The sequence below is a fragment of the Homo sapiens genome, chromosome 16 (assembly GCF_000001405.40).
Source record: "Homo sapiens chromosome 16, GRCh38.p14 Primary Assembly".
Lineage (NCBI taxonomy): Eukaryota > Metazoa > Chordata > Mammalia > Primates > Hominidae > Homo > Homo sapiens.
In genome coordinates, this window is record NC_000016.10 from 74,988,112 (window position 1) to 75,012,858 (window position 24,747).

General features: G+C 46.3%; 1 protein-coding gene across 4 annotated transcripts in view, besides 5 other annotated features; it reads left to right on the forward strand.

Annotated features, from left to right (window-relative positions):
- Positions 10,705–11,224: a silencer, noted in NCBI's record as "silent region_7705". NCBI's record gives its function as "represses an Ori minimal core promoter by ATAC-STARR-seq in GM12878 lymphoblastoid cells {active_cell/tissue: GM12878}" and the evidence as "EXISTENCE:reporter gene assay evidence [ECO:0000049][PMID:35858748]".
- ZNRF1 (zinc and ring finger 1) overlaps positions 10,913–24,747 on the forward strand; it is a 111,971-nt gene continuing 98,136 nt past the window's right edge. For 3 of the 4 annotated variants that reach the window (NM_032268.5, XM_017023793.2, XM_011523392.2), the window contains exon 1: positions 10,913–11,984. In NM_032268.5, the coding sequence (NP_115644.1) occupies positions 11,561–11,984 (424 nt within the window). In that variant the 5' untranslated portion in view covers positions 10,913–11,560. Of the gene's footprint in view, positions 11,985–14,131; positions 18,968–24,747 lie in introns of those variants that run through there. The other variant, XM_017023794.2, reaches the window with a different exon arrangement.
- Positions 11,625–11,934: a silencer, noted in NCBI's record as "silent region_7706". NCBI's record gives its function as "represses an Ori minimal core promoter by ATAC-STARR-seq in GM12878 lymphoblastoid cells {active_cell/tissue: GM12878}" and the evidence as "EXISTENCE:reporter gene assay evidence [ECO:0000049][PMID:35858748]".
- Positions 12,725–12,784: an enhancer, noted in NCBI's record as "active region_11113". NCBI's record gives its function as "activates an Ori minimal core promoter by ATAC-STARR-seq in GM12878 lymphoblastoid cells {active_cell/tissue: GM12878}" and the evidence as "EXISTENCE:reporter gene assay evidence [ECO:0000049][PMID:35858748]".
- Positions 23,709–23,818: an enhancer, noted in NCBI's record as "active region_11114". NCBI's record gives its function as "activates an Ori minimal core promoter by ATAC-STARR-seq in GM12878 lymphoblastoid cells {active_cell/tissue: GM12878}" and the evidence as "EXISTENCE:reporter gene assay evidence [ECO:0000049][PMID:35858748]".
- Positions 24,129–24,218: an enhancer, noted in NCBI's record as "active region_11115". NCBI's record gives its function as "activates an Ori minimal core promoter by ATAC-STARR-seq in GM12878 lymphoblastoid cells {active_cell/tissue: GM12878}" and the evidence as "EXISTENCE:reporter gene assay evidence [ECO:0000049][PMID:35858748]".

Consider the following 24,747-nt stretch of genomic DNA (forward strand, 5'->3'; position numbering starts at 1 on the left):
AACATGGCAAGACCCCATCTCTAAAAAAAAAAAAATTAAAATTAGCCAGGCGTGGTGGCATGCATCTGTAGTCCCAACTACATGGGAAGGTGAGGTGAGAGGACTGCTTGAGTCTGGGAGGTTGAGGCTGCAAAAAGCTATGATCGCGCCACTGTGCTCCAGCCTGGGTGACAGAACAAAACCCTGTCTCTAAAAAAAAATTAAAATTAAAGTCATTTCATTCCTGACTGGCTACCTCATCCATTATCTTCATGTTTCTCGAATTTGTGATACAAAGAACAACGTATAGCCAATCAGTAGCTTATGTTATTTTGAGGTAAATTCTTAGTAAAGACTTTAGGAACTGCCCCTTCTTTTTCTTTAGAAACCCACCGTAGGCCAGGTGCGGTGGCTCACGCCTGTAATCCAGCACTTTGGGAGGCCAAGGAGGGCGGATCACGAGGTCAGGAGATCAAGACCATCCTGGCTAACATGGTGAAACCCCGTCTCTACTAAAAATACAAAAAATTAGCCGGGCGTGGTGGCGGGCGCCTGTAGTCCCAGCTACTAGGGAGGCTGAGGCAGGAGAATGGCGTGAACCCAGGAGGCGGAGCTTGCAGTGAGCCGAGATGGCACCACTGCACTCCAGCCTGGGCGACACAGAGAAACTCCGTCTCAAAAAAAAATAAATACATACATACATAAAATTAAAAAATTAAAAAATTAGCCAGGCATGGTGGCAGGCGCCTGTAATCCCAGCTACTCAGGAGGCTGAGGCCGGGAGAATCGCTTGAACCCGGGAGACGGAGTTTGCAGTGAGCGGAGATAGGGTCACTGCTCTCCAGCCTGGGCAACAGAGTGAGAATCTGTCTCAAAAAAAAAAAAAGAAAGCCCTGCTTAGGCGTTTGAGTTTTACTTTGGACATACATACAAATAGAGACATAGCTCTTCTAAAGCTCTCTGTCTTTGTGTACATAGCTTGTTAATTTGCTTCCCACCAAAATGAGTGGGATCTAAGATCATCGTGCCTGAGCATTTCTGCAACCCTCCCCCACTCCCACCTCTTTAGTTCATATTTATCTAGTTCTCAAAATCTGCCTGTCATGGTTCATAGGCAAAGATAGTACTTTGGCTTTCAAGTCCTTGGTGCACTCTGTTCTCCCAATGTTTTTTTTTTCTTAAGTAGGAAAAAGGTTCAGCAGAATTTTGGGGAGAGGGAGCAGGAGAACCTTTCCAATTGCCTCCTCGGATCCTGCTTTGGAGTCTCCCACCCATATGTCATGACACTGTCATGAAGTAGTGGGGACTCTGCCAGGTGCAGTGGCTCACGCCTGTAATCCCAACACTTTAGGAGGCCAAGGCGGGCGGATTACCTGAGGTCAGGAGTTTGAGACCAGCCTGGCCAACATGGAGAAACCCCATCTCTACTAAAAATACAAAAATAGCCAGGTGTGGGGGCAGGTGCCCTGTAATCCCAACTACTCCGGAGGCTGAGGCAGGAGAATCGCTTGAACCCGGGAGGCAGAGGTTGCAGTGAGCCAAGATCAAGTCACTGCACTCCAGCCCAGGCAACGGAGCAAGACTCCGTCTCAGAAAAAAAAAAAAAAAAAAAAAAAAAGAAAGGAAAGAAAAGAAGAAAGGAAGGAAGGAAGAGAAAGAAAGGAAGGAAGGAAGGAGAGAGAGAAAGAGTGGGGACTCTGGAGCAACATCCAGAGCTCTCTGGCTGCTTCTTCATTGCTATTCACCCCTGAGATCCCCATGTAAGTGTTCTTTCCATGTTGACCAAAAAAATCAAACAAAATCAAAATCAAACTTTTTGTATGTATTTTGGAGACTTTTTGTATGTATTTGGAGACTATATTTCCAGACTCAGGCTGGAGTGCAGTGGCAATGGTGCCATCTCGGTTTACTGCAGCCTCAACTTCCCAGGCTTAAGCAATCCTCCCACCTCAGCCTCTCAAGTAGCTGGGACCACAGGTGCATACCACCACACCTGGCTAATTTTTGTATTTTTTATAGAGATGGGGTTTGGCCGTGTTGCCCAGGCTGGTCTCAAACTACTGAGCTCAAGTGATCCACTCACCTTAGCCTCCCAAATTACTGCTCTGTAAAATATTTAAAGAGGTTTATTCTGAGCCCATATGCGTGCCATATGAGTGACCATGGCCTGGGGGACAGTCTCAAGAGATCCTGAGAAAGTGTGCCCAAGGCGGTCAGGGTATACATTGGTTTTGTACATTTTAGGGAGACAGGAATTTTAGGTAAAATCATAAGTCAATACATGGAAGGTATACATTGATTCAGCCTAAAGAAGCAAGATACCTTGGAGGGGGTGGTTACAGGTCTTAGGTGGAGTCTAAGATTTTCTGATTGGCAATTGGTTAAAAGAGTTCAACTGTGTCTAAAGACTTGAAGTCAATAGAAAGAAATGTTTCAGTTAATATGAGGGACGCTATAGAGACCAAGGTTCTTGTTATGAAGACAAAGTTTCACAGGCATCAGCCTTCAGAGAGAATAGGCAGTAAATTTCTCAGGGCCTTAAAAGGTGTCAATATCAGTTTATCTCTTTAAAAAAAAAAAATTAAGGCCAGGCAAGGTGGCTCACGCCTGTAATCTCAGCACTTTGGGAGGCCAAGGCAGGTGGATCATTTGAGGTCAGGAGTTCCAGACCACATGGTGAAGCCACATCTCTAATAAAAATACAAAAAAAATTTAGCCGGGCGTGGTGGCACATGCCTGCAGTCCCAGCTACTCCAGAGGCTGAGGCAGGAGAATTGCTTGAACCCGGGAGGCAGAGCAGTGAGCCAAGATGGCGCTGCTGCATTCCAGCTTGGGTGACAGAGCAAGACCTTGTCTCAAAAAAAAAATTAGGATGGGGTTTCACTATGTTGCCTAGGCTGATCTCTAACTCTTGGGCTCAAGCGATCCTCCCGCCCCGCTGGCCTCCCAAAGTACTGGGATTGCAGGTGTGAGCCACCACGCTCGGCCTCTTAATCTCTCTTAAATGCAGGAAAGTCTCAGCTGCGTTCTCTACGATGCAAAATTTCCCCCACAACAGAGTGCTTTGAAGAGCCATTTCAAACTACGCCAAAGAAATATATTTTGGGGTAAAATACTTTTATTTCCTTCAGGGTCTGCTGTCTGTTATATGATGCTATACCAGAGTCAGGTTGGAATTCGGTATCTTATTGCCACAAAGCGTCTGTTCTGTCAGTCTTATGATCTCTATTTCAACCTTAACGCTGATCAGTTGTGCCTAAACTCGAAAAGGTGGGGGGTATAATGACCTTCTTTCCCACGATGGCCAGAAATTCAGTTTTTCAGGTTTCTCTGGAGTCCCCTTGGCCTGGGGGAGGGTGGTCCATTCTGTAACTTGGGGGACTTAGGATTTTGCATCTGAATCAGAGGCTGGGGACCACTGAGGGTCCTTTGTCAAGTAGATCCCACTTTGCCACAGAGGATTTATCATGAAACTGTGTTTTTTCAGGACACTTGCTAGCCAAGCGGCAGGAAAGCAGGGTACACAGCAAACCCAGAAATCCAGGGCCTGGGCTGGGCTCTTATCAGCAACTAGCCATGCAATTTGAACATGATCCTTTATCTTTCTAGTCTTCTGTTTGCTCTTCTGCAGAATTTGGAGCTAGCTGACTACTCAGTTCATTTACATCTGGGAACCTTGGACCCTGGCCCTGAGTCCCAGTAATAATTTCCCTCTCTTCATCAATCAACAAATATTTATGAACATGGTCCTGTGCTCAGCCTCCCGGCCATGTGTATTTGGTTACTCATTATCCTGATTTCTCTAAGCTGTCTCCTTTCAAGCAAAACAATAAAATTTAAAGAGCTCCGAGAGGGCCTGGGAGGAAGTTTCTCACTAAAAGGCATTTGTCCACCCCCAGTGGGGTGATAGGGGTGCTGGGGATGCCCTCCAAAGCCATGGGAAACCCTCGCCTTCCTCTGGCTCACAGAAACAGGGAGGTGGACGGGAGTTCCCCACTGCTTCTCAGGAGTAGGCCCTCACAAGCCCTTTCCCCTATTTTCTGAATAGTGAAAGTCCCAGGCTTTCTATAATAGAATAGATATGCACTCGCATTTCCAAAGGGCTTTGGCAGCAAAAATTTTATCAGCTCTTCCTCCTGACTGTTGTGGTAAGTGGATCAGTGGTTTATTGTTAGTACAAAACAAGATAACAGGACATTTTCTTTTCTTTTTTTTTTTTGAGACAGAGTCGCCCTTTGTTGCCCAGGCTGGGGTGCAGTAGCGCGATCTCCGCTCACGGCAACCTCTGCCTCCCGGGTTCAAGCGATTCTCCCGCCTCAGCCTCCCGAGTAGCTGGGATTACAGGCAACTGACACCATGCCTGGCTAATTTTTGTATTTTTACTAGAGACAGGGTTTCACCATGTTGGTCAGGCATGAGCCGCTGTGCCCAGCCATAACAGGACATTTTCTGAGATAGGCTACCATTCGGGGTCCCACAGGGCACCTAAGCTGAGTGCAATCACATTGCACAGAGCAGGGGCTTCACCTTTGCAGTACAAGATCTCAGCTGTTCAGTGGTGCCAGCTATGAGAGAGGTGACTTATAATAATCAGCACACTAGAATGTAAATCTTAAGGCCAAATAATTAATTCACAAAAAGAAATACAGCTGTTAAGTAGATCTAGTCTTTTTCACCCCTTTGGAAAGTATACAGAGAAAACAAAATTGTCATTGGAAGAATTCCTCTGCTGGGTGCAGTGGCTCACACCTGTAATCCCAACACTTTGAGAGGCTGAGACGGGAGGATTGCTTGAGCCCAGGAGTTCAAGACCAGTCTGGGCAACATGGTGAAACCCTGTCTCTAAAAAAATACAAAACTTAGCCAGGCACGGTGGCACGCACGTGTGGTCCCAGCTACTCAGGAGGGTGAGGTGGTAGTATCCCTTTAGCCTGGGAGGCAGAGGTTGCAGTAAGCCCAGATTGCACCACTGCACTTCGAGCTGGGTGACAGAGTTAAGACCCTGTTCTCAAGAAAAAAAAAAAATTCTTTGATGAGCATGTTCACCGTAAAACTTAAGAGCCCAGCTCTGGCCCAGCGTCGTGGCTCACGCCTGTAATCCCAGCACTTTGGGAGGCCGAGGCGGGCGGATCACGAGGTCAGGAGATCGAGACCATCCTGGCTAACACGTGAAACCCCATCTCTACTAAAAATACAAAAAATTAGCTGGGCATGGTGGCGGGTGCCTGTACTCCTAGCTACTCTGGAGGCTGAGGTAGGAGAATGGTGTGAACCCGGCAGGGGGAGTTTGCAGTGAGCTGAGATGGTGCCCCTGCACTCCAGCCTGGGCGACAGAGCGAAACTCCATCTCAAAAAAATAAAATAAAAAGCCCAGCTCTGCTCTTACTAGCTGCATGACCATTAATGTGCATGTAGTATGTTTTGTCTATCATCTATCAAAATTTATTTTTTCCTTTTTTTTATTTTTGAGATAACGGCTTTCTGCAGCCTCAATCTCCCTAGGTTTGGGCGATCCTCCCACCTCAGCCTCCCAAGTAGCTGGGACCACAGGCACGTGCCAACACACCTGGCTAATTTTCGTATTGTTTATAGAGCAGGGTCTTGCTGTTGCCCAAGCTGGTCTTGAACTCTTGGGCTCAAGTAATCTGTCTGCCTCGACCTCCCAAAGTGCTGGGAGGCCATTCCTATTGGTGCTGATGATAGCACCAATGATGCTGGTGCTAGATAGACAGCATCTCATGATGCTGATAAAGGCTTTCCAGCTCCCCATGCCCTTGGGATGGGGACCACGCTCCTTGCCATGGCTCACAGGACCCTCTTGCCTGCCCCTGAGGAACAGATTCATCTTTGGCTCTCACCCCCTTGCATTGCAGCACTATAGCCTCTTTCAGTTCCTTGAATATGCCATGTTCTCTCACATCTGGGCTGTTCCCTTTGCCTGGAACAGTATTCTCTTCCTGAAACACAGTTTTTTTCCCTGCCCTGCCTCCTTGCCTGGCTGATCTCCAACTCACCTTTCAGGCATCAGCTTGGAATGGTCTATTCCTGTCTCTTGCCTTTCTTTCAGCACCATACTCTTTCTCCCTCATACCATTTAGTCATTCATTCATTCATTAATTCAACAATATTTATTGAGTGCCTAGTACATGTCAGGCACCATTCTAGGCTTACCTGTCATACTGTATTGTCACTGCCTGCTTCAGTACTTTTTTTTTTTTTTTTAAGACAGAGTTTCACTCTGCTGCCCAGGCAGGAGTGCAGTGGTGTGCTCTTGGCTCACTGCAACCTCTGCCTCTCTGGTTCAAGCGATTCTCTTGCCTCCGCCTCCTGAGTAGCTGAGATTACATGCCTGCACAACCAAACCTGGCTAATTTTTGTATTTTTAGTAGAGAGGGGGTTTCACCATGTTGGCCAGGCTGGTCTCGAACTCCTGACCTCAAGTGATCCACCCGCCCAGCCTACCTAAGTGCTGGGATTACAGGCTTAAGCCACCACGCCCCACCAATACTTATTGATCTATATGGTATGCTAGTGTAATTCAGATGCCATAAAATTCACCCTTCTAAGTGTATAATTCAGCAGTTCTTAGTATATCCACAAGTCTGTGCAAGCATCACCATTACCCAATTCCCAAACATTTTCATCACTTCAAAAAGAAATCCATTCAATTACCAAAAAATGTGATTTAAAAAAACAAGGCCAGGTGTGGTGGCTCATGGCTGTAATCCCAGCACTTTGAGAGGCCAAGGCGGGTGGATCGCTTGAGGCCAGGAGTTCAAGACCAGCCTGGCCAACATAGTGAAACCTCATCTCTACAAAAAAGAAAAAAAAAAATTAGCTAGGCATGGTGGCACATACCTGTAATCCCAGCTACTCAGGAGGCTGAGGCGTGAGAATTGTTTGAACCCGGAGGCAGAGGTTGCAGTGAGCTGAGATCATACCACTGCACTCCAGCCTGGGTGACAGAGTGAGACTCTGTCTCTAAATAAGTAAATGCATAAAACAGAAAGACACCACTTTGTAACCACACAATTAAAAAATAATAAATAACAAATAAATACATAACAGAAAGAGGCTAGGTGCAGTGGCTCAAGCCTGTAATCCCAGCCACTCTGGGAGGCTGAGGCAGGTGGATCATCTGAGGTCAGGAGTTCAAGACCAGCCTGGCCAACATGGTGAAACCCCGTCTCTACTAAAAATACAAAAATTAGCTGGTTATGATGCCACGTGCCTGTTATCCGAGCTACTAGGGAGGCTGAGGCAGGAGAATCACTTGAACCCATGAGGTAGAGGTTGCAGTGAGCCAAGTTCATGCCAATGCACTCCAGCCTGGGCGACAGAGCAAGACTTGTCTCAAAAAATAATTAGTGGCCAGGCACAGTGGCTCATGCCTGTAATCCCAGCACTTTGGGAGGCCAAGGCGGATGAATCACGAGGTCAGGAATTTGATACAAGCCTGACCAAACATGGTGAAACCCCATCTCTACTAAAAATACAAAAATTAGCCGGGTGTGGTGGCGCGCGCCTGTAATCCCAACTACTCAGGAGGCTGAGGCTGGAGAATCGCTTGAACCCGGGAGGCGGAGGTTGCAGTGAAGATTGCACCACTGCACTCCAGCCTGGGTGAGAACAGATCAAGACACCGTCTTAAAAAAAAAAAAAATTTAGCGTGGCATGGTGGCGCATGCCTGTAATCCCAGCTACTTGGGAGGCTGAGGCAGAAGAATCACTTGAACCTGGGAGGTGGAGGTAGGGGTTGCAGTGAGCCGAGATCATGCCACTGTGCCCCAGCTTGGGTAACAGAGCAAGACTCCGTCTCAAAAAAAAAAAAAAGGAAAAAAAGAAAAAATAGAAAGAGACCTATTATTAGTCATTTTCCATTCTCCCCTCCCCCCAGGCCATGGCAACCACTAATCAATCTGTCTCAATGGATTTGCCTATTCTGGACATTTCATATAAGTGAAATCATACAATACATAGTCTTTTATGGCTGGCTTCTTTTAGTTAATATGCTTTTACAAGATTCATCCATGTTGTAATATGAATCAGTACTTTATTCCTTTTCATGGCTGAATAATATTTCATTGTATAGATACACCACATTTGGTTTACCTCTTCATCAGTTGATGAGCATTTGGGTTGTTTCCACTTTTTAGCTCTTTTGAATAATGCTGCTATGAACATTTACGTACACATTTTTCTGCAGACATATGTTTTGCTTTCTCTTGGAACTCTACCTAGGTAGGAGCAGAATTGCTGGGTCATGTAACTCCACATTTAATCTTTTTGAGGAACTGTCAGGCTGTTTTCCAAAGCAGCTGCACCATTTTACATTTCCACCAGCAAGGTACAAGGGTTCCAATTTCTCCACCTCTCATCAATACTTACTATTGCCCTTCTCTTTGATCATAGCCATTCAAGTGGGTGGGAAGTGTTTCTTCTGATGTTCTATGAGAACAGGGACTCCATCTGTCTGGTTCTGGTTCAGTACTGTATCCCAGAACCTACTACAGTGCCTGGAATTTATTACATACTAAATATTGTGTTAAATACACTAAAAAACTGTTCAGTGAATGGATAAATCAAAAGCTGTTTGGATAGTTACAATGGGTATCATGTATTTATCTCTCTAATAGGGATCTTCCACGGGGTCTAATACCTTTTTTTTTTTTAGTATAGTACTGAACCACTCTTCTGATACCATAGTCTTTCTTCTAGGAGGAAATGGGATTAAATTTAAGCTTTCTTGTTTTTCCTCTTTAGGTATACACATACTCATATAGGCACCTACAGATAATTTATTAGATGTTGGCACATTTTGTTTCTTCCTATTTTTACTTCTCTTGCAAAAATTCTTACTTCTACAGGGCTGTTTGCTCACCTCCAGGTATTTCATGCTTGCAAATAGGTTTCCTCCTGTTTCCAGGCTGGCCACAATGGAACAATCAATACCTGTGACGGGCTAGCCTTGCTCTTTTTGGTTTTCTTTTAATATTTCTGAACATCCTGTTTTGGTCCCCCAGTTTAGAAGTATCTGGGGTCATTTAATAGGTGGAAGTCAGCTAAGCCAGGGACTGTGTGATACTCACAGCCAGCACCTAGCACTTGATAAATAGTTGTTCAGCAGTCACAGTGGCTCATGATGTAATCCCAGCACTTTGTGAAGCCGAAGTGGGAGGACTGCTTGAGGCCAGGAGTACCGGCCTGGACAACATGGGGAAACTCCCATCTCTACTATATATGTATGTATATACACATATATATATATCATATGTATATTTTGAGACAGTCTCGTTCTGTTGCCCAGTCTGGAGTGCAGTGACGCGATCTCAGCCCATTGCAACCTCTGTCTCGCGGGTTCAAGCCATTCTCCTGCCTCAGCTACCCAAGTAGCTGGGATCACAGGCGTGAGCTACCACACCTGGCTAATTTATTTATTTTTTATTTTCATTTTTTTTTAGTAGAAATGAGGTTTCACCATGTTGGTCAGGCTGGTTGCAAACTCCTAACCTCAGGTGATCCCCTGCCCCATCTCCCCCCACCCCCCCACCCCCAGCCTCCCACAGTGCTGGAATTACAAGCATGAGCCACCGTGCCCGGCCTGATTTTGAAATTTTTAACAGACTTTTACTCGGGAGGCTGAGGCAGAAGAATCACTTGAACCTGGAAGGCGGAGGTTGTCCAGCCTGGGAGGAGCAAGGCTCCGTCTCAAAAAAAAAAAAAAAGAAAAGAAAAAAAAGAAAAAGAAAAACAGGGCGGGCGCGGTGGCTCATGCCTGTAATCCTAACACTTTGGGAGGCCAAGGCAGGTGGATTACCTGAGGTCAGGAGTTCAAGACCAGCCTGGCCAATACGGTGAAACCCCGCCTCTACTAAAAATACAAAAAATTAGCCAGGTGCAGTGTGGCATGTGCCTGTAATCCCAGCTACTCGGGAGGCTGAGGCAGGAGAATCACTTGAATCCGGGAGGCGGAGGTTGCGGTGAGCCGAGGTTACGCCACACCACTCCAGCCTGGGTGACAGGGCGAGATTACGTCTCAAAAACAAAAACAAAACAAAACAAAAAAAACAGTTGTTCAATAAATGAATGTGAATATAGGAGAAAGACGGCTTGAGGTAGCAAAGGAACACTCCCTTGCAAATGATTCAGGCTTGGTCAACAATACACCTATTGAGTACCCACCGTGTCCTTGGCCCGTGGTGAGGGCCGAAACACAGCACATGGTAAACAAAACAGGGCTCCAGCCTTGGACAGAAGGTTTCTATAATCACTTCTAGCTGCGTTGTTCTATTTCCATACCCATATCTATTCACTTTTTATGGTACATCTATTGATTCTGAAAATTACATTTTAGCTAAGGAATCTACTCATTTGCTTAAGCCCAAAATAGGAAGTTATGATCTAGTGTCAGCAAAACGCCGGATTCACAAGTGTCCCCATGGCGCTGTTTACCCCCAAATAACTAAACCCCGCCAAATGTTGAGATTCCGGACGTGAGGGGTGCTTGGATGGGGAACCCCCGAAAGAATGGACATCACGTCCACCAGAGGGTGCTGTGGGGGCAAATTTGTGCCAGGAGGGGAGCTCGACCGGTGACCCTCAGAGCCAGGTAGGCGTAAGGAGTAAATCTCCTTCTTCCCGGTGTTTCCTTCCCACCCCCTCGAACCATTGCTGCCCCTCCCCCATACTTGGTTCCCCCTGAATAATTTGCCACTTTCGGGGACTTAAGAAGTGTTTGCTTTTGAAAGACATCTGGTTTCTGTGGCTAACGCCCAGTGGTCAGGCCGCCCAGGTCACAGGCCGGCCGGGGGCGGGCGGTGGGTGGGGACTGCTGGGGCGTCAGCGGCCCAGGCGCCGCAGGGACCGCGAAAGGGTTAACCCGGCGGGGGGAGGGGGAGGGGGCGCGGGCCGCGCCTGCGCTCTGCCGCCCTCCATTGTCTCCACGGCGGCGAGGAGCGCCGGCGAGCGCAGCCCGGGACCGAGCGGGGCGGCGCGGCTGGCGGGGCCGGCGGCGGCTGAAGCGAGAGCGCGACGCGACGCGACCGCGGCTTCCCGAGCTGCGCCTGGCCGCCCAGCGCCGCGGCCCGCCCGAGGCCTGGAGGGGTCCGGGCCGCCGTCCATGGTCGCGGCGTCCTGAGGCGGGGGACGCGCCCGGCGCCCCCGGCCCTCCTCCGCCTCCTCCCGCGGGGCGGGCGGCCTCCTCCGGCGCCTCCCCGCGCCCGCCCGCCGCTCGCCGCCGCCTCCCTCCCTCCTTCCCTGCGGCTCCCCCGGCTTTCGGAGCCCGGGGGCGGCCTGTGGCGCGCGGAGCCCGCGCCGGACTGCGCCTCTTTGGACCTTGAGGGGAAACATGCGTTTGCCTTGGATCGTTTGAAATTCTGAGTTTGGGATCCCCGCCCGCCCGCCTGCCTCTTCCGCCCCGCGGGTTTTTTCCTTTTTTCCTTTTGCTTTTTTTCCTTTTCTCCCTCCGGGTCTCCTTTTTGACTCCCTCCCCCTTTATGCTCGCCCAGCCCTCCCCCTGCTGCTGAGAAGTGGGGGAGGGTCTCGGCCTCCAGGTTCCCGCCCCACCGGGGCCCGGGCGAGCATGGGGGGCAAGCAGAGCACGGCGGCCCGCTCCCGGGGCCCCTTCCCGGGGGTCTCCACCGATGACAGCGCCGTGCCGCCGCCGGGAGGGGCGCCCCATTTCGGGCACTACCGGACGGGCGGCGGGGCCATGGGGCTGCGCAGCCGCTCGGTCAGCTCGGTGGCAGGCATGGGCATGGACCCCAGCACGGCCGGGGGGGTGCCCTTTGGCCTCTACACCCCCGCCTCCCGGGGCACCGGCGACTCCGAGAGGGCGCCCGGCGGCGGAGGGTCTGCGTCCGACTCCACCTATGCCCATGGCAATGGTTACCAGGAGACGGGCGGCGGTCACCATAGAGACGGGATGCTGTACCTGGGCTCCCGAGCCTCGCTGGCGGATGCTCTACCTCTGCACATCGCACCCAGGTGGTTCAGCTCGCATAGTGGTGAGTCCGCGGGTGGTGGAGGCCTCGGAGGGAGGGCGCGCCGGGGCGCCCCAAGCCTTCGCGTGCGTGCCAAGGTTTGGGAATGTAGTGCACGACCGGGATCTGTCTGCATTCCCTTTGGTTCCCGATGCCAAGGGATAAATGGGATACCTACCGTCTGGAAACTAGGCTTTCTGCGAGGCTGCGGAGCCTGGCGATTTAGGGACTCACGGCGTGTGTTCACTTGTGGAAGGGCAGAGCGAAGCCTACCTATTGGAGTTCCATTTATTGGCATCACCCTCCTCAGAGAAGAGGTCGTGTCTGGCTGAGAGCAAGTCAGCCTGGGTACTTCCATTCTGCCACTGCAGCACTGTGCCTGCCTCACCGGTAACGGAGAGATGGAGCCAGTTGGAGCAAGCAGTGTCTCCTAAACAGAGTGTGTGAAAATGAAATAAAATCAGGGGCAAGTGATGCCTGGATTAGGGCTCTCACTCTTGCTGGGAGAGAGAGGTGCCCAGTTTTGCCACCCTGCTGGAGATCTGTTTGAAATGTTTAAAATGGAGCAGCCGGCAGGCGGCTGGCATAGACAGGTGTGGCTGCTGTACGGAGGGCCCAGCCGGCGAGTCTCGCGGGGGCTTTGCAGGACCCGGGCTGTGGTCACCCGTACTGCATGCAGCAGGCTTGGCTCCGCGACTCTCGCCTCCCTCCATCTTTTTTTCTTCTGCTCCATGCTAAGTGCTTGGTCTTCCCGTGAATCTGCATCTTTTTGTAACAGGGAGCCTGTCACGGTGGGGCATTATTGCCTGGCTGTTGGCACATGACTGGGGAAAAGGAGGATTCAGAGAATCTGGATGAATTCATTTTATGAACTTCTGGTGACAGGCCAGCAAAAGGTTGGAGGGGGATTTCCCAGGCTCCTAGCGGGAGGGCAAAAAAGGCCTGGCAGGAGGAAAACAGGTCTGTCTGCTAGGTCAGGCATCTAGAAAATTGGCCAAAAGGGATGTGGGGGCCGCTATTTGCTAATTGGCAAGTTGAGTGATGAAGTTACATCTTAAGATTCTTTTGGGTGAGTTGGGAAAATTTAGATAGTGTAGGGGAAAGATTGCTCCTGCCTTTAGGGTACTTTATGGAGGGTAATATCTGTTGGATCACTCTTTTAACTACTGTGAAATAGGGTTGACTTTTGGGGTATCTCTTTCCCCCCCCCTGCAAATAGCCTGGGGTTTGTTTTCATTTGGTTTGGTTTTTTGTCAATTCTGTAAACTTTAATTTGTGAAATAGTGTTGGGGGAGAAACGATTAGTGACTAATTTAGGGTAACACTTAGAAGTAGCTTGTGAATTGTTAGGATGATATTTTAATCTCTGACAGACCTCCGGATATCATTGGAGCTTTTCTGACCTCATGGAACTCTGCCCTGAGTGAGAAGCAGGACATGATTGCCTTTGGCTCTTTCAGGCATTTGATCAAAATTAGGCATTTTGAAATTAATAATTTTTCCTATGGAATTTAGTCCAGAGAGTTAGCCATATTTTTGAGATGACTAGTTTGGTGTTTAAAAGAACTGTAATGAGCATCTGGTTTTGAACTTAAAAGTACTGTAAGAAGTTTCTCTAAAATCACAGAATTTTTTGTGTTGAAAAACATATGAGATATGTAGGGAGGAAGAAAGGGAGTGCTTTTTTTGCTAAAATTTCTTAAGCCTCTTACTAAAAATTTATTTATTATGCTACTACCAGGTTCCATGCTACAGTTATGAGCTTGTAGTTGGATTCCAGAATTTCACTCTTAAGCTGTGAAACCTTATTTTTTTTCATCCGATCATGGTGAGGGTAGGGAGAGCCACTGAACTGTGGGGACAGGAAGGTTGGAGCATATTAATCCTTTAGGGAAGGGTGTCAAAAGTGTGTATGGGAGGCTGCTATTAATATTGTAGGTAATCCATTCCTTACTGTGTAGGACCATCATGTCCTTCTGCAAGACATCGAGCATACCTACTAAATGCTGATAGCATCCAGCAGTTCAGTGTGTCACCCCAAAATGTCCCCAAGAATTCCCAAATGCCCTCTGGGGTGTGGGTGGTATCACTCTGGTTGAGAACCACTGCTTTAGGGATTTATTCTTTTATTCACATAAAGTAATTGGCTTTTCCTGTGCATTTCATTTGAGATGAATCTTCGTGTGCAGCATTGGTTCCATCTCACCTGAAACAGACCATGGGATCTTCCAGGACATCTGTTTCCTCTGTTACACATTGCTGCAAGAAGCAAAACTTGTTTCTGCTTTGGAGCCTTTGAGTAAGGTCTAAGCAGCTTTTGCTCTTCTGTTGCAAGATTGGAAGGGTAACGATTTTGGTGCACAATTAATTAGATGCCTGGAAGTTGATATGATATGTTTGCTTGTGTTTTCAAGGTGCTCTTGCAACTCTTCATGGGCACAGAAAACAGTTGTCAGTGAAATACATGAGGGAGTTCAGTGTATACAAGGCCTTCTCAGAGAGCGTGGGCTTAGGCTGGGTCTGGAGGTAGAATACTGAAGGGCCCTGGTCCCAGCTACTCCTCTGAGCAGCTGTGACCTTGGGCAAGACATATCCCCTCTCTTGAGCCTTATCTTTGTCGTTTTTAAAATAGTTGTGGTCACCCTCACGAGCTCCAGCCTTGCTCCGCAAATCCCGGGAGAGGAAGCGCTGTAGTCACATTTGTCTTCTCTAGGTTCCTGACTTCCCTGTGCTGTGACCCCCACGTATACCATTCCCTAATCCTAGAGTGCTTTTCTCTCCGTTCTTCACACGAATTTCTCTTTCTGATCCCTTAGGGCTTAGAGACCACTCTTAAAAATTGGCCCCTCCGGTTATTCTCTCCAGTCACTCACCTGTTACCTTAATCATTCTTTTTTTTGAGACAGAGTTTCGCTCTTGTTGCCCAGGCTGGAGTGCAGTGGTGCGACCTCTGCTCACTGCAGTCTCCGCCTCCCGGGTTCAAGCAATTCTCCTGCCTCAGCCTCCCGAGTAGCTGGGATTACTGGCATGCGCCACCATGCCCAATAAGCTTGGGGCTAATTTTGTTTTTTGTAGAGACGGGATTTCTCCATGTTTATCAGGCTGGTCTCAAACTCCCGACCTCAGGTGATCTGCCTGACCCGGCCTCCCAAAGTGATAGGATTACAGGCGTGAGCCACTGCGCCCTGCACCTTAATCATTCTTAACACACTTTGTAAGTATTTTATCTGTTTACTTTTTTCTGTGTATGGTTTGCCTAAAGTCTAAGCTCCGTGAGAGCAGGACTGTGTTCCTTGATCTCTGTTGTGGGTCCTGCACTGTGCCTGCCACTCACATTTTTTGAGTACATGAATTTGAGTACTTTATGTTCATCATCTCACTTAATCATCACTCTGACTCTATGGAGTAAGACTGTTCTCTCCCACCCCCATTGTGCAGGTAAGGAAACAGGTTTGGGGAGGTTAAGGAACTCACACAAGATCAGGTGGTTAGTAGGTGGTGGAGATGGGATTGGAATGCAGGTTGGCTGGTGCCAGAACCTGGGCTCTTAACCAGTACCCTCTTCCGCCTCTTATCTGAAAACATCACAAAGCCGCATGGTGTCCTGGAGATTGCGCTGGCCTACGAGTCAGAGTGCTAGGCTCATCTCCTGGTTAGGCAGCTGATTAGCTGCATGATTTGTGACCTTGGGCAAGCGAGTCATTTAACCTCAGTCACAATTTATTCATCTGTAAAATGTAGAAGACGCCTGTCCTGCTTACCTCTCAGAGTCATAGTGAGGGTCTCATGAGATAATGTGCACAAAAGTCAAAGGACATTCTAAATGGAGAGTGGTGGAGTTCCTATGGGGGCACTCTCTTATAGTTGTCTGCCTTCAATCGCCTCAGATTTTTTTTTTTTTTCTTTTGAGACAGGGTCTTATTCTGTCACCCAGGCTGGAGTGCAGTGGCGAGATCATAGCTCACTGCAGTCTCAGACTCCTGGGCTCAGTTGATCCTCCCAGCTTGGCTTCCCAAAGTGCTGGGACCACAGGCATGAGCCACCGTGCCAGGCCTAATGGTCTCAGAATTTGATGGGTGGAGAGAGGTTTACAGCTGTGCTAGCTGTAGCCCCCAAATGGAATCTGGTTCTGTGTCCTAAAGTCTGGCCTGCATTAGTGGGCTGCTTTTACTCATAATGCCGCTGATAAGGGCTGCTTTATAGAAGCAGAGTGACTCCCTTTCCACGTTAAAAAGTTTTGCTATAACTCCTGATGGCTGCCTCGGTGCTATTCTGGAGGCCTGGTCATTCTCTTTCGGTAGTTCTGTTTGTCTCAGAGTATGGATTTCTAAATGTGGGGTACAAAACATGCACCATCCACCATGTTGAAAGAAGTTGCTGTTTTCTAGGTTCTACTATAAAAGGGCTGGCCATTGAGGGCTTCACTTCACCTTCTTAGTCATATGTGTATATATATGTATGCACTTTCAGAAAGTCTAAACTGTTCTTTATTGTCATCAAGCCATCAACTGAGACTGATACAAGGTGATTGTGTTTTGTTTTTGTTATTTATTTATTTTTGAGACAGGGTCTTGCTCTGTTGCCCAGGCTGGAGTGCCATGGTGCAATCATGGTTCACTGTAGCCTCAAACTCTTGGGCTCAAGCCGTCTTCCCATCTCAGCTTCCAGAGTAGCTGGGACTCAGGTGCGCACCACTACACCTGGCTAAATTTTATACAATCTTTTGTAGAGATGAGGTCTCACTATGTTGCCTAGGCTGGCCTCAAACTCCGGGCTTTAAGCAATCCTCCCACCTCAACCTCCCAAGGTATTGGGATTATAGGCATAAGCCACCACGCCTGGCCCAACGTGGCTTTTAATAAGTCTTTGAACATGCTAGGAGGTATCTCTTGGGCTCTATTTTGCTGCCACTGTAGGGTTCTCAAGTGATTTAATTTTCTTTTATTGTTAGCTAATGGGGGAGAATTGCCAGCTCCCTTGGAGTGAATCAGAAAGCCTTTGTGTCCCGCCATAGGTGTGCTAGAAGTAATGGGCCTTCACATGGTTTCTGGAGAAGGAAAAGCATTCTGTGGTCTCCAAAGAGCATGATGGGTCTCCTGCCCTGCAAAAGTTCTATTGTTAATGAAAACTTGTATTAAAAAGCAGAATTTTTAGCTCTTTATTACCATGAGGGCTTATTTTCTTAAAATACAAAAGTTACCCCGAGGCAAAGATAATTTCTTGAAGGTCATAGTTAACTCTTGCTTATTGAGGTTTGAATGGTGTTGTAAGAAACAGTGGCTTAGCTCTTAAAGCGTTTGCTTTATGGGATACTACATTTTGATATTAAACAAAGACCCACCTCAATATATCATGTCACAAGGAATACTTAGGCCATTCTTAGCCAAAGAAATGAAGCAAGCTCTAGTTCCTTTTGGGAAAAGGAACATGCTTTGTATTTTACATATGTGGTATTCACCCCAAGCTTATTGGGCACAGAAATTTGAGTATAGTAGTTACTCCCTATCCAAAGGGGATTCGTTCCAATACCCACAGTGGATGCCTGAAACCGTGGATAGTACCTCACCTGAACCCTATATCTACTATGTCTTTTCCTGTATATACATACCTTTGATAAAGTTTTATTTATAAATTAGGCACAATAAAAGCTCGACAGCAGTAACTAATAATAGAACAATTATAACAATATACTGTGATAAAAGTTATGTGAATGTGTTCTCTCTCTCTCTCTCCCTGTCTCGAAAGTACAGTCATGCATTGCTTAATGACAGGGATACTTTCTGAGAAATGGGTCATTAAGGGATTTTGTCACTGGGCAAACATCATAGGGTGTACATACACGGACCTAGGTGGTATAGCCTGCTACATACCTAGATTATATGTTGCTCCTAGTGCTCCTAGGCTACAAACCTGTGCAACATGTGACTGTATTGAACACTGTTGGCAATTGTAATACAGTTGTAAGTATTTGTGTGTCTAAACATAGAAAAGGTACAGGATATAGTCTTACGGGACCACCATCATGTATGCAGTTGCTTGTTGACCCATGCATGTAGGGTGGTGCGTCATGGTATCTTAATATTTTAGACCTCCATTGACCACGGGTAACTGAAACTATGGAAAGTGAAGCCTTGGACAAGGGGTACTGCTGTATACCCAATTATAAAACTAAGCTTCAATTTTGACAGCTTCAAAATTAGAAAAACTTCATAGGGAAGTGGTGGTAACTTAAATGGGATATTGATTCTGCTCCTACTCATCCTTAGGTAGGGGTGTTTTTAATGACAGTGGATCACTAAGGTTGTGGTTCTAGAATCTTGAAGTTAGCCCAAAACCTAAATCTTAACCTCAGTCAGTTTGTTTGTTTGTTTGTTTGTTTATTGAGACAGAGTCTCACTCTGTCACCCAGGCTGGAGTGCAGTGGCATGATCTGAGCTCACTGCAACGTCCACTTCCCGGGTTCAAGTGATTGGCCTGCCCCAGCCTCCCAAGTAGCTGGGATTACAGGCATGCACCACCACGCCTGACTAGTTTTTGTATTTTTAGTAGAGACAGGGTTTCACCATGTTGGCCAGGCTGGTCTCGAACTCCTGACCTCGGGTGATCCACCTGCCTTGGCCTCCCAGAGTGCTGGCATTACAGGCATGAGCTACCGTGCCTGGCCACCTCAGTCTTTTAGGATGATGGGTGAATATAAATTTCAGTCTGTTTCTTTTCCAAGCTTTCTCATGGCCTAGTCTGAATCAGATGGTTCATAGTAATTACCATGGGTTCAGTCTTGAGTGTGAGAAGGGGATTCTTAGAGACCCAGCAGTTTTCACTTCTGAATCTTAGGTTCTCACTAGAACACAGGTTTATCCTTGAATCCAGCAGTTGGGTTTCTGTCCTTTATGTGCTGTATGGATGAAGGATGAGTTGTGGGTATGAGTGAATAACCTGAAGACCAGCCCTCAAGTGTGAAGTGTGAAGCAAATAACCAAGTTTAATCTTTTTTTTTTTTTTTTTTTAAGACAGGGTCTCGCTTTGTTCAGGCTGGAGTGCAGTGGCACGATCATGGCTCACTGCAGCCTCAGCCTGTAGGGCTCAAGCGATCCTCCTTCCTCAGCCTCCTGAGTAGCTGGGACTACAGGCGGATGCCGCTACGCCTGGCTAATTTTTAATTTTGTGTAGATGGGGTCTCCATTTGTTGCCCAGGCTGGTCTTAAACTCCTGGGCTCAAGCGATCCTCCTGCCTCAGCCTCCTAAAGTGCTGGGATTACAGGTGTCAGCGACGATGCCAGACCCCAAATTTAATCCTAAAGCAGCAGCTGAAATAGTTTCTAGACTGATGAGACTGTTTACCTTGAGACCTCCCTAGAGTCGTTAGTCTTGAACACACAGCTTTCCTCTGTTGGGAGAAAGGAGGAAGGAATAATTCACTGGATCCCTGTGAATTCCAACTTAGGGGAGGCATGATAAGAATTTATAGTGACCTCTTGGATCTGTAACAAGAAAGAGGCAGATAAAAACAAGAGCTCTCCTGATTTCTGTGAATGGTTCAGAAGGGTTCTTAAAGGTGCTCAGTATTCTCTAGGGAGGTAGTTAACGATGCAGATGACTGGACCCCACTCACAGAATTCAGTAGAGCTGGAGACCCAAGAATCTAAGTTTGTAACAAATGAACCTGAAAACAAGAAGACCTTCTACATCTGAAACTAAACTCCACCAAGCATTTAGTTTTTCTCTCCCCAAACAGAGAAATAAACTTTGAATCCTTTTTTGGTGTATTCATTAGCTTTCTTTTTATTTGTTTTTTCTTCTTATTTTTCTTTAGAGAAAGGTTTTTCTTCTGTTGCCCGGGCTGGAGTGCAATAGCAAGATCACGCTCACTGCAGCCTGGAACTCCTGGTCTCAAGCAATTCTCAAGCCTTAGCCTCTGGAGTATCTGGGACTACAGATGCTATGCTACCATGACCAGATAATTTTTTTACTTTTTTTTTCTTTTTTCGGTAGAGAAGGGGTCTCACCATGTTGCCCAGGCTGGTCTTGAACTCCTGGCCTCAAGTGAGCCTTCCACCTCAGCTTCCCAAAATACTGGGATTATAAGTGTGAAGCCACTGTGCCTGGCCTTTATTTTCAGTATTTCTAGTCAGATATTTGCTAAGCAATCTCTACAGCTCGCAGAAGGTAGGTTCAACCAGGAACAACATTGTTGGCTATTTGATGGTTTTCTTTTACATGGGACTAAGCATTATTGCCTACATATAGGGCCAAGCCAATCTGCCTTGGTCTGAGAATTGAAGTTGCTCTGAACAGAAGGTAATGGTGTCAGTGTCGCCTTTCCTTCTGCACTTGTCTTCCTCCTGACTTTTCTTCTTTGGCTCTGGTGCTACAGAAGGGCTTCCTGAGTTACCCTCTTTCCTACATCTTCAGCCAGGCAGCTAGACAAGTCAAGAGCTTAGGATGAATCTAGGCTTTAAAGAGGTTGGAAGACCTGTTTTTCCTTTTCTCTGACTGACCCAAAAGTATAAGACTTTTTTTTCTTTGTGTGTGATGATCTGTTGAACAAAAACGTTCATTTATTCCATTGATAGCCTCTGGTATACCAGGACCTATGGTAGGTGCTGAGAATATATATATTTATTATAGAGCAATTAACTTATTCTTTCCAAGAATCTTTGCTTCCTCACTCCTTAAGAGTCTGAATATTTTAGCTTCTGGGAGATTTTACCTTTTCATCAGCTCCTCTGTTGAATAAACAAATAAATGTAGGTGTTTGTCCATAAGGCTGCTGCAAGGATATACTTCTCTTCACTCATTTTTTTCCAAAGCCCTATTTCTGGGTTGGGGCAGGTGATCTTTTCTTTGTGATTCCAGCTAAGTACCTACCAAGAAATTCCTCGTATGTCTCAGTATGAGGGGTCCTCTGTCCTCTCAGTGAGAATATCAAAAGAAAAACTGATTTTCAGACTCTTCATGTGCATCTTTAATTTCAGTATCTTTGTCATCCCTAGAGCCACTTTTCTTTCTGGTCATTGAACACTATTTTCTAGAAGCATGATTCACCACTTTTTAAATCTGTCTCTGTAAAATTTATCCCAAGCCACAAATACCCATAAGGAAATTTCATCCTTGGTATTATAAGTCTATGTCTCTGAACTTCACAACATCTACACTTCTGTGCTGGCTCCCCTCTCCCCCACCTCCCCAGTTTTGTTTTGTTTTTTTAACTGTCATAAAATATATGTAACAAAATTTACTATCTTAACCGTTTTTAAGTGTACAGTTCAGTGGTATTCTAAGTACTGCATGTAAGTGGACTCGTACAGTATTTGTCTTTTTGTGGCTGTCCTATTTCACTTAGCGTAGTGTCCTCAAGGTTCATCTGCATTGTAGCATATTTCAGAATTTCCTTTCTTTTAAAGGTTGAATCGTATTCCATTGTCTGTCTACCACGTTTTACTTTTCCATTCATCTGTTGCTGGACGCTTGGGTTGCTTCCATATTTTAGCTATTGTAAATAGCTGTAATTCATTGTTAGAAATGTGAATTTCTTAATATCTCTTCAAGACCCTGCTTTCACTCCTTTTGAGAATATACCCAGAAGTGGAATTGCTCCATCATTTGGTGATTCTATTTTTAATTTTTTGAGGAACCACCATACTGTTTTCCACAGTAGCTGCACCATTTTATATTCCTACCAACAGTGCACAGGCTTCCAGTTTCTCCACATCCTTGCCAATACTTGTTATTTTCTGTTTTTTTTTTTAATAGTAGCCATCTTAATGGATGTGAGGTAGTATCCCATAGTATTCATTTGCATTTCTCTAATGAATTAGTGATATTGAGCATCTTTTCATGTGTTTATTGGCCATTTGTATATCTTTTTTGGAGAAATAATCTATTTATATGTCCATGTTTGAATCAGGTTGCCTCTTTTCTTTTCTTTTGATACGGAGTTTTGCCCTGTTGCCCAGGCTGAAGTGCAGTGGTTCAGTCTCAGCTCACTACAACCTCTGCCCCCCGGGTTCAAGCGATTCTCCTGCCTCAGCCTCCAGAGTAGCTGGGATTATAGGCGCCTACCATCATGCCCTGCTAATTTTTGTATTTTTAGTAGAGACAAGGTTTCACCATATTGGCCAGGCTGGTCTCGAACTCCTGGCCTCAGGTGATCCACCCGCCTCAGCCTCCCAAAGTGCAGGGATTACAGGTGTGAGCCACCACACCCGGCCTGGGTTGCTTTTTTCTTTCGTTGTTGATTTTAGTGCAGTTTTAAGAAACTTTTTAAAGCCTTGTTTATGATAGCCAACACTAGTGACTGTAATGTATTCCCCTCGGGAATAAGTAATAAATCTGTGTTATATTTGAGTACATTTTGCTCAAAATAAAGAATTTAACGAATTGTCTCATGCCAAGAGATTTTATGAGTACTTTGGCTGTTGGTAGTGCCTTACTTTCAGAAGGATAATTTTTGGAGAAATTTCACTTCGTATTTAGGTATGTATGGTCTCTCATCTTGGTCTTGGTGAATCAGACTTGTCATAGGAGTGCTCCAACTTTCTTGTTGGTAGTAGCTTGAGCCCTCTGAAAAGTAATTAATCCATACTTCATAAAGAGTTGTTCTGAAATTAGTCACCTCTGTACTGTACTGTTTTTTTTTGTTTTTTTGTTTTTTTTTTTTTGAGGAGTCTCGCTCTGTCACCAGGCTGGAGTGCAGTGGCATGATCTCCACTCACTGCAACCTCTGCCTCCTGGGCTCAAGCAATTCTCTTGCTTCAGCCTCCCAAGTAGCTGGAATTACAGGCATGTGCCACCACAGCCGGCTAATTTTGTACTTTTAGTAGAGATGGGGTTTCGCCAATTGGCCAGGCTGGTCTTGAACTCCTGACCTCAAGTGATCCGCCCACCTTGGCCTCCCAGAGTGCTGGGATTGCAGGCGTGAGCCACCATGCCCAGCTGGGAGAAGCTTTAACCTGGATTCAGGAACAGAGGTAGGAGAACCTAAGATCACAGGCCTCATCTGACGTGGTCATTTTGCACATACTTCTTAGCTTTTTGGAGATCTTTTCATTTTGTTTCCATCTTAAATAACCTTTTCCCTGTGGAGAAGGTGCCTTTTTTGGAGAGAGCCATTAAGATTCTTTTATCCTGCTGCCTGCCTGAGTATTCTGGGAATCCTACAAGGATTTGAGGGAGCCCTTGGGATTCCAACCTAACAAATTAGTTTTCTGTAATATTGTTCTAGTCCATTTAGATTGTGTAAATGATCTAAATGGTGTAACCATTTAATATCAAAAGTATAACAGCATTTAAGTCAGCTTTTCGAAGAAACTTTTATTTTTTAACTAAAAACAAACTTTTTTTCAGAGACAAGGTCTCACTATGTTGCCCAGGCTGGACATGAACTCCTGGGCTTAAGACATCCTCCTACCCTAGCCTCCTGAGTAGCTGGGACTGTGGGCACACGCCACCATGCCTGGCCAAAGACACTTTTTTATAGCTCTGCCTGCTGCTATAACAAGTGTTCCTAAATACCCATGTACATCCTATATTATTAGATTTCCTCAACTCTGGTTAGCTATGACTGAAACATTCATGCCATTGCAGCCAGTGCCCTGGAAAGCTATAAGCAAGTCTTAAGACCTGTGATAAGGGCTGACTTGCAAGCTAGCTGCCATCCATCTTAATATCTGACGAGCCCAGTCATGTTGGCTGTGTTTAATTGATCCATTTCCTACTTGCTTCCTCAACCCAGAGGCCAAGGGCAGCACAAAAGGATAGTGAATCTAAATGTCTCCAGTTTTTTGAGGTATAGGAATCTCCTATGAAGTGGCAGACCTTTGAGAAATAGTATTATGAGCTGTTCTGTTTTGCTGTGGCTTTGGAAAACCTTTGGATTCCTCTACTGAAAATTTGTTTGAAAAAAAAATCTTTTTAATGAAACAGTGTGAGTCATAAAGCAGCCACCACCCCTTCTCATAATAGCATTTCTCACCAGGGGAATTTTTGGTAGCTGTTGGGGGAGGGATTTGAGTAGGTTGTGGATGATAAATCCCTTGAGGGGAACATAACCAAAGGCTGCCATATCAGAACGCTGGTGCTTTCCATGCTGACACCAAGCCCTGAATTCAAAGTGCAGGACAGCAGAATAGAACAGAGAAGCCTGTGCTCAGTGAATTGCTGCAGTAGCATGACCAGTGAGACTGGAGTTTCAATTAAAACACCGTTGTAGTGTAAAAGGATCATGAGATGGAAGGAGGCCTTGGGTTAGAGAGCCAGAAGCCATTTATAGGCAGAACATCAGCTTTCTGGATTAAAGGATGGCTGTGGACCTAATGATGAGAATCTAGAGGTCATGGGGAATTTCCTTACTGTCTGTGCCCCCCTTTTCCATATGGTCAGCTTGGTGCTTGGCACTGATCATGGCACACTTTACAAAAAGTGGATTCATATAAGGTCGTCTGTGCTCTTCTAAGATTTTAGGTCTAAAGCATTTAGAGTGGCGCCCAGAGGAGACGCCACCCAGTCAGCCTCCTTGTGGCATAGTGAAAATGAAACATTTAGGGATACTGAGAGCTTAGAACAAGCCAGAATTATGATATCAAATCTCAGTTGCCTGTCTTAAACTTTTCTGCCAACCTAGCGTGAGTTTTAGCTGTTTTCAACTTCATTATTTACAGTTTCTCGGGACTCATGTCTGAACCACTATCTTACATAAGCTACAGACGGGAAGGGCTGAACGGTTATTAGAAATGTGTTAAGATTTGCTTTCCTTTGGAGAGTCATGGCCTGTCTTCTGTGTTTTCCT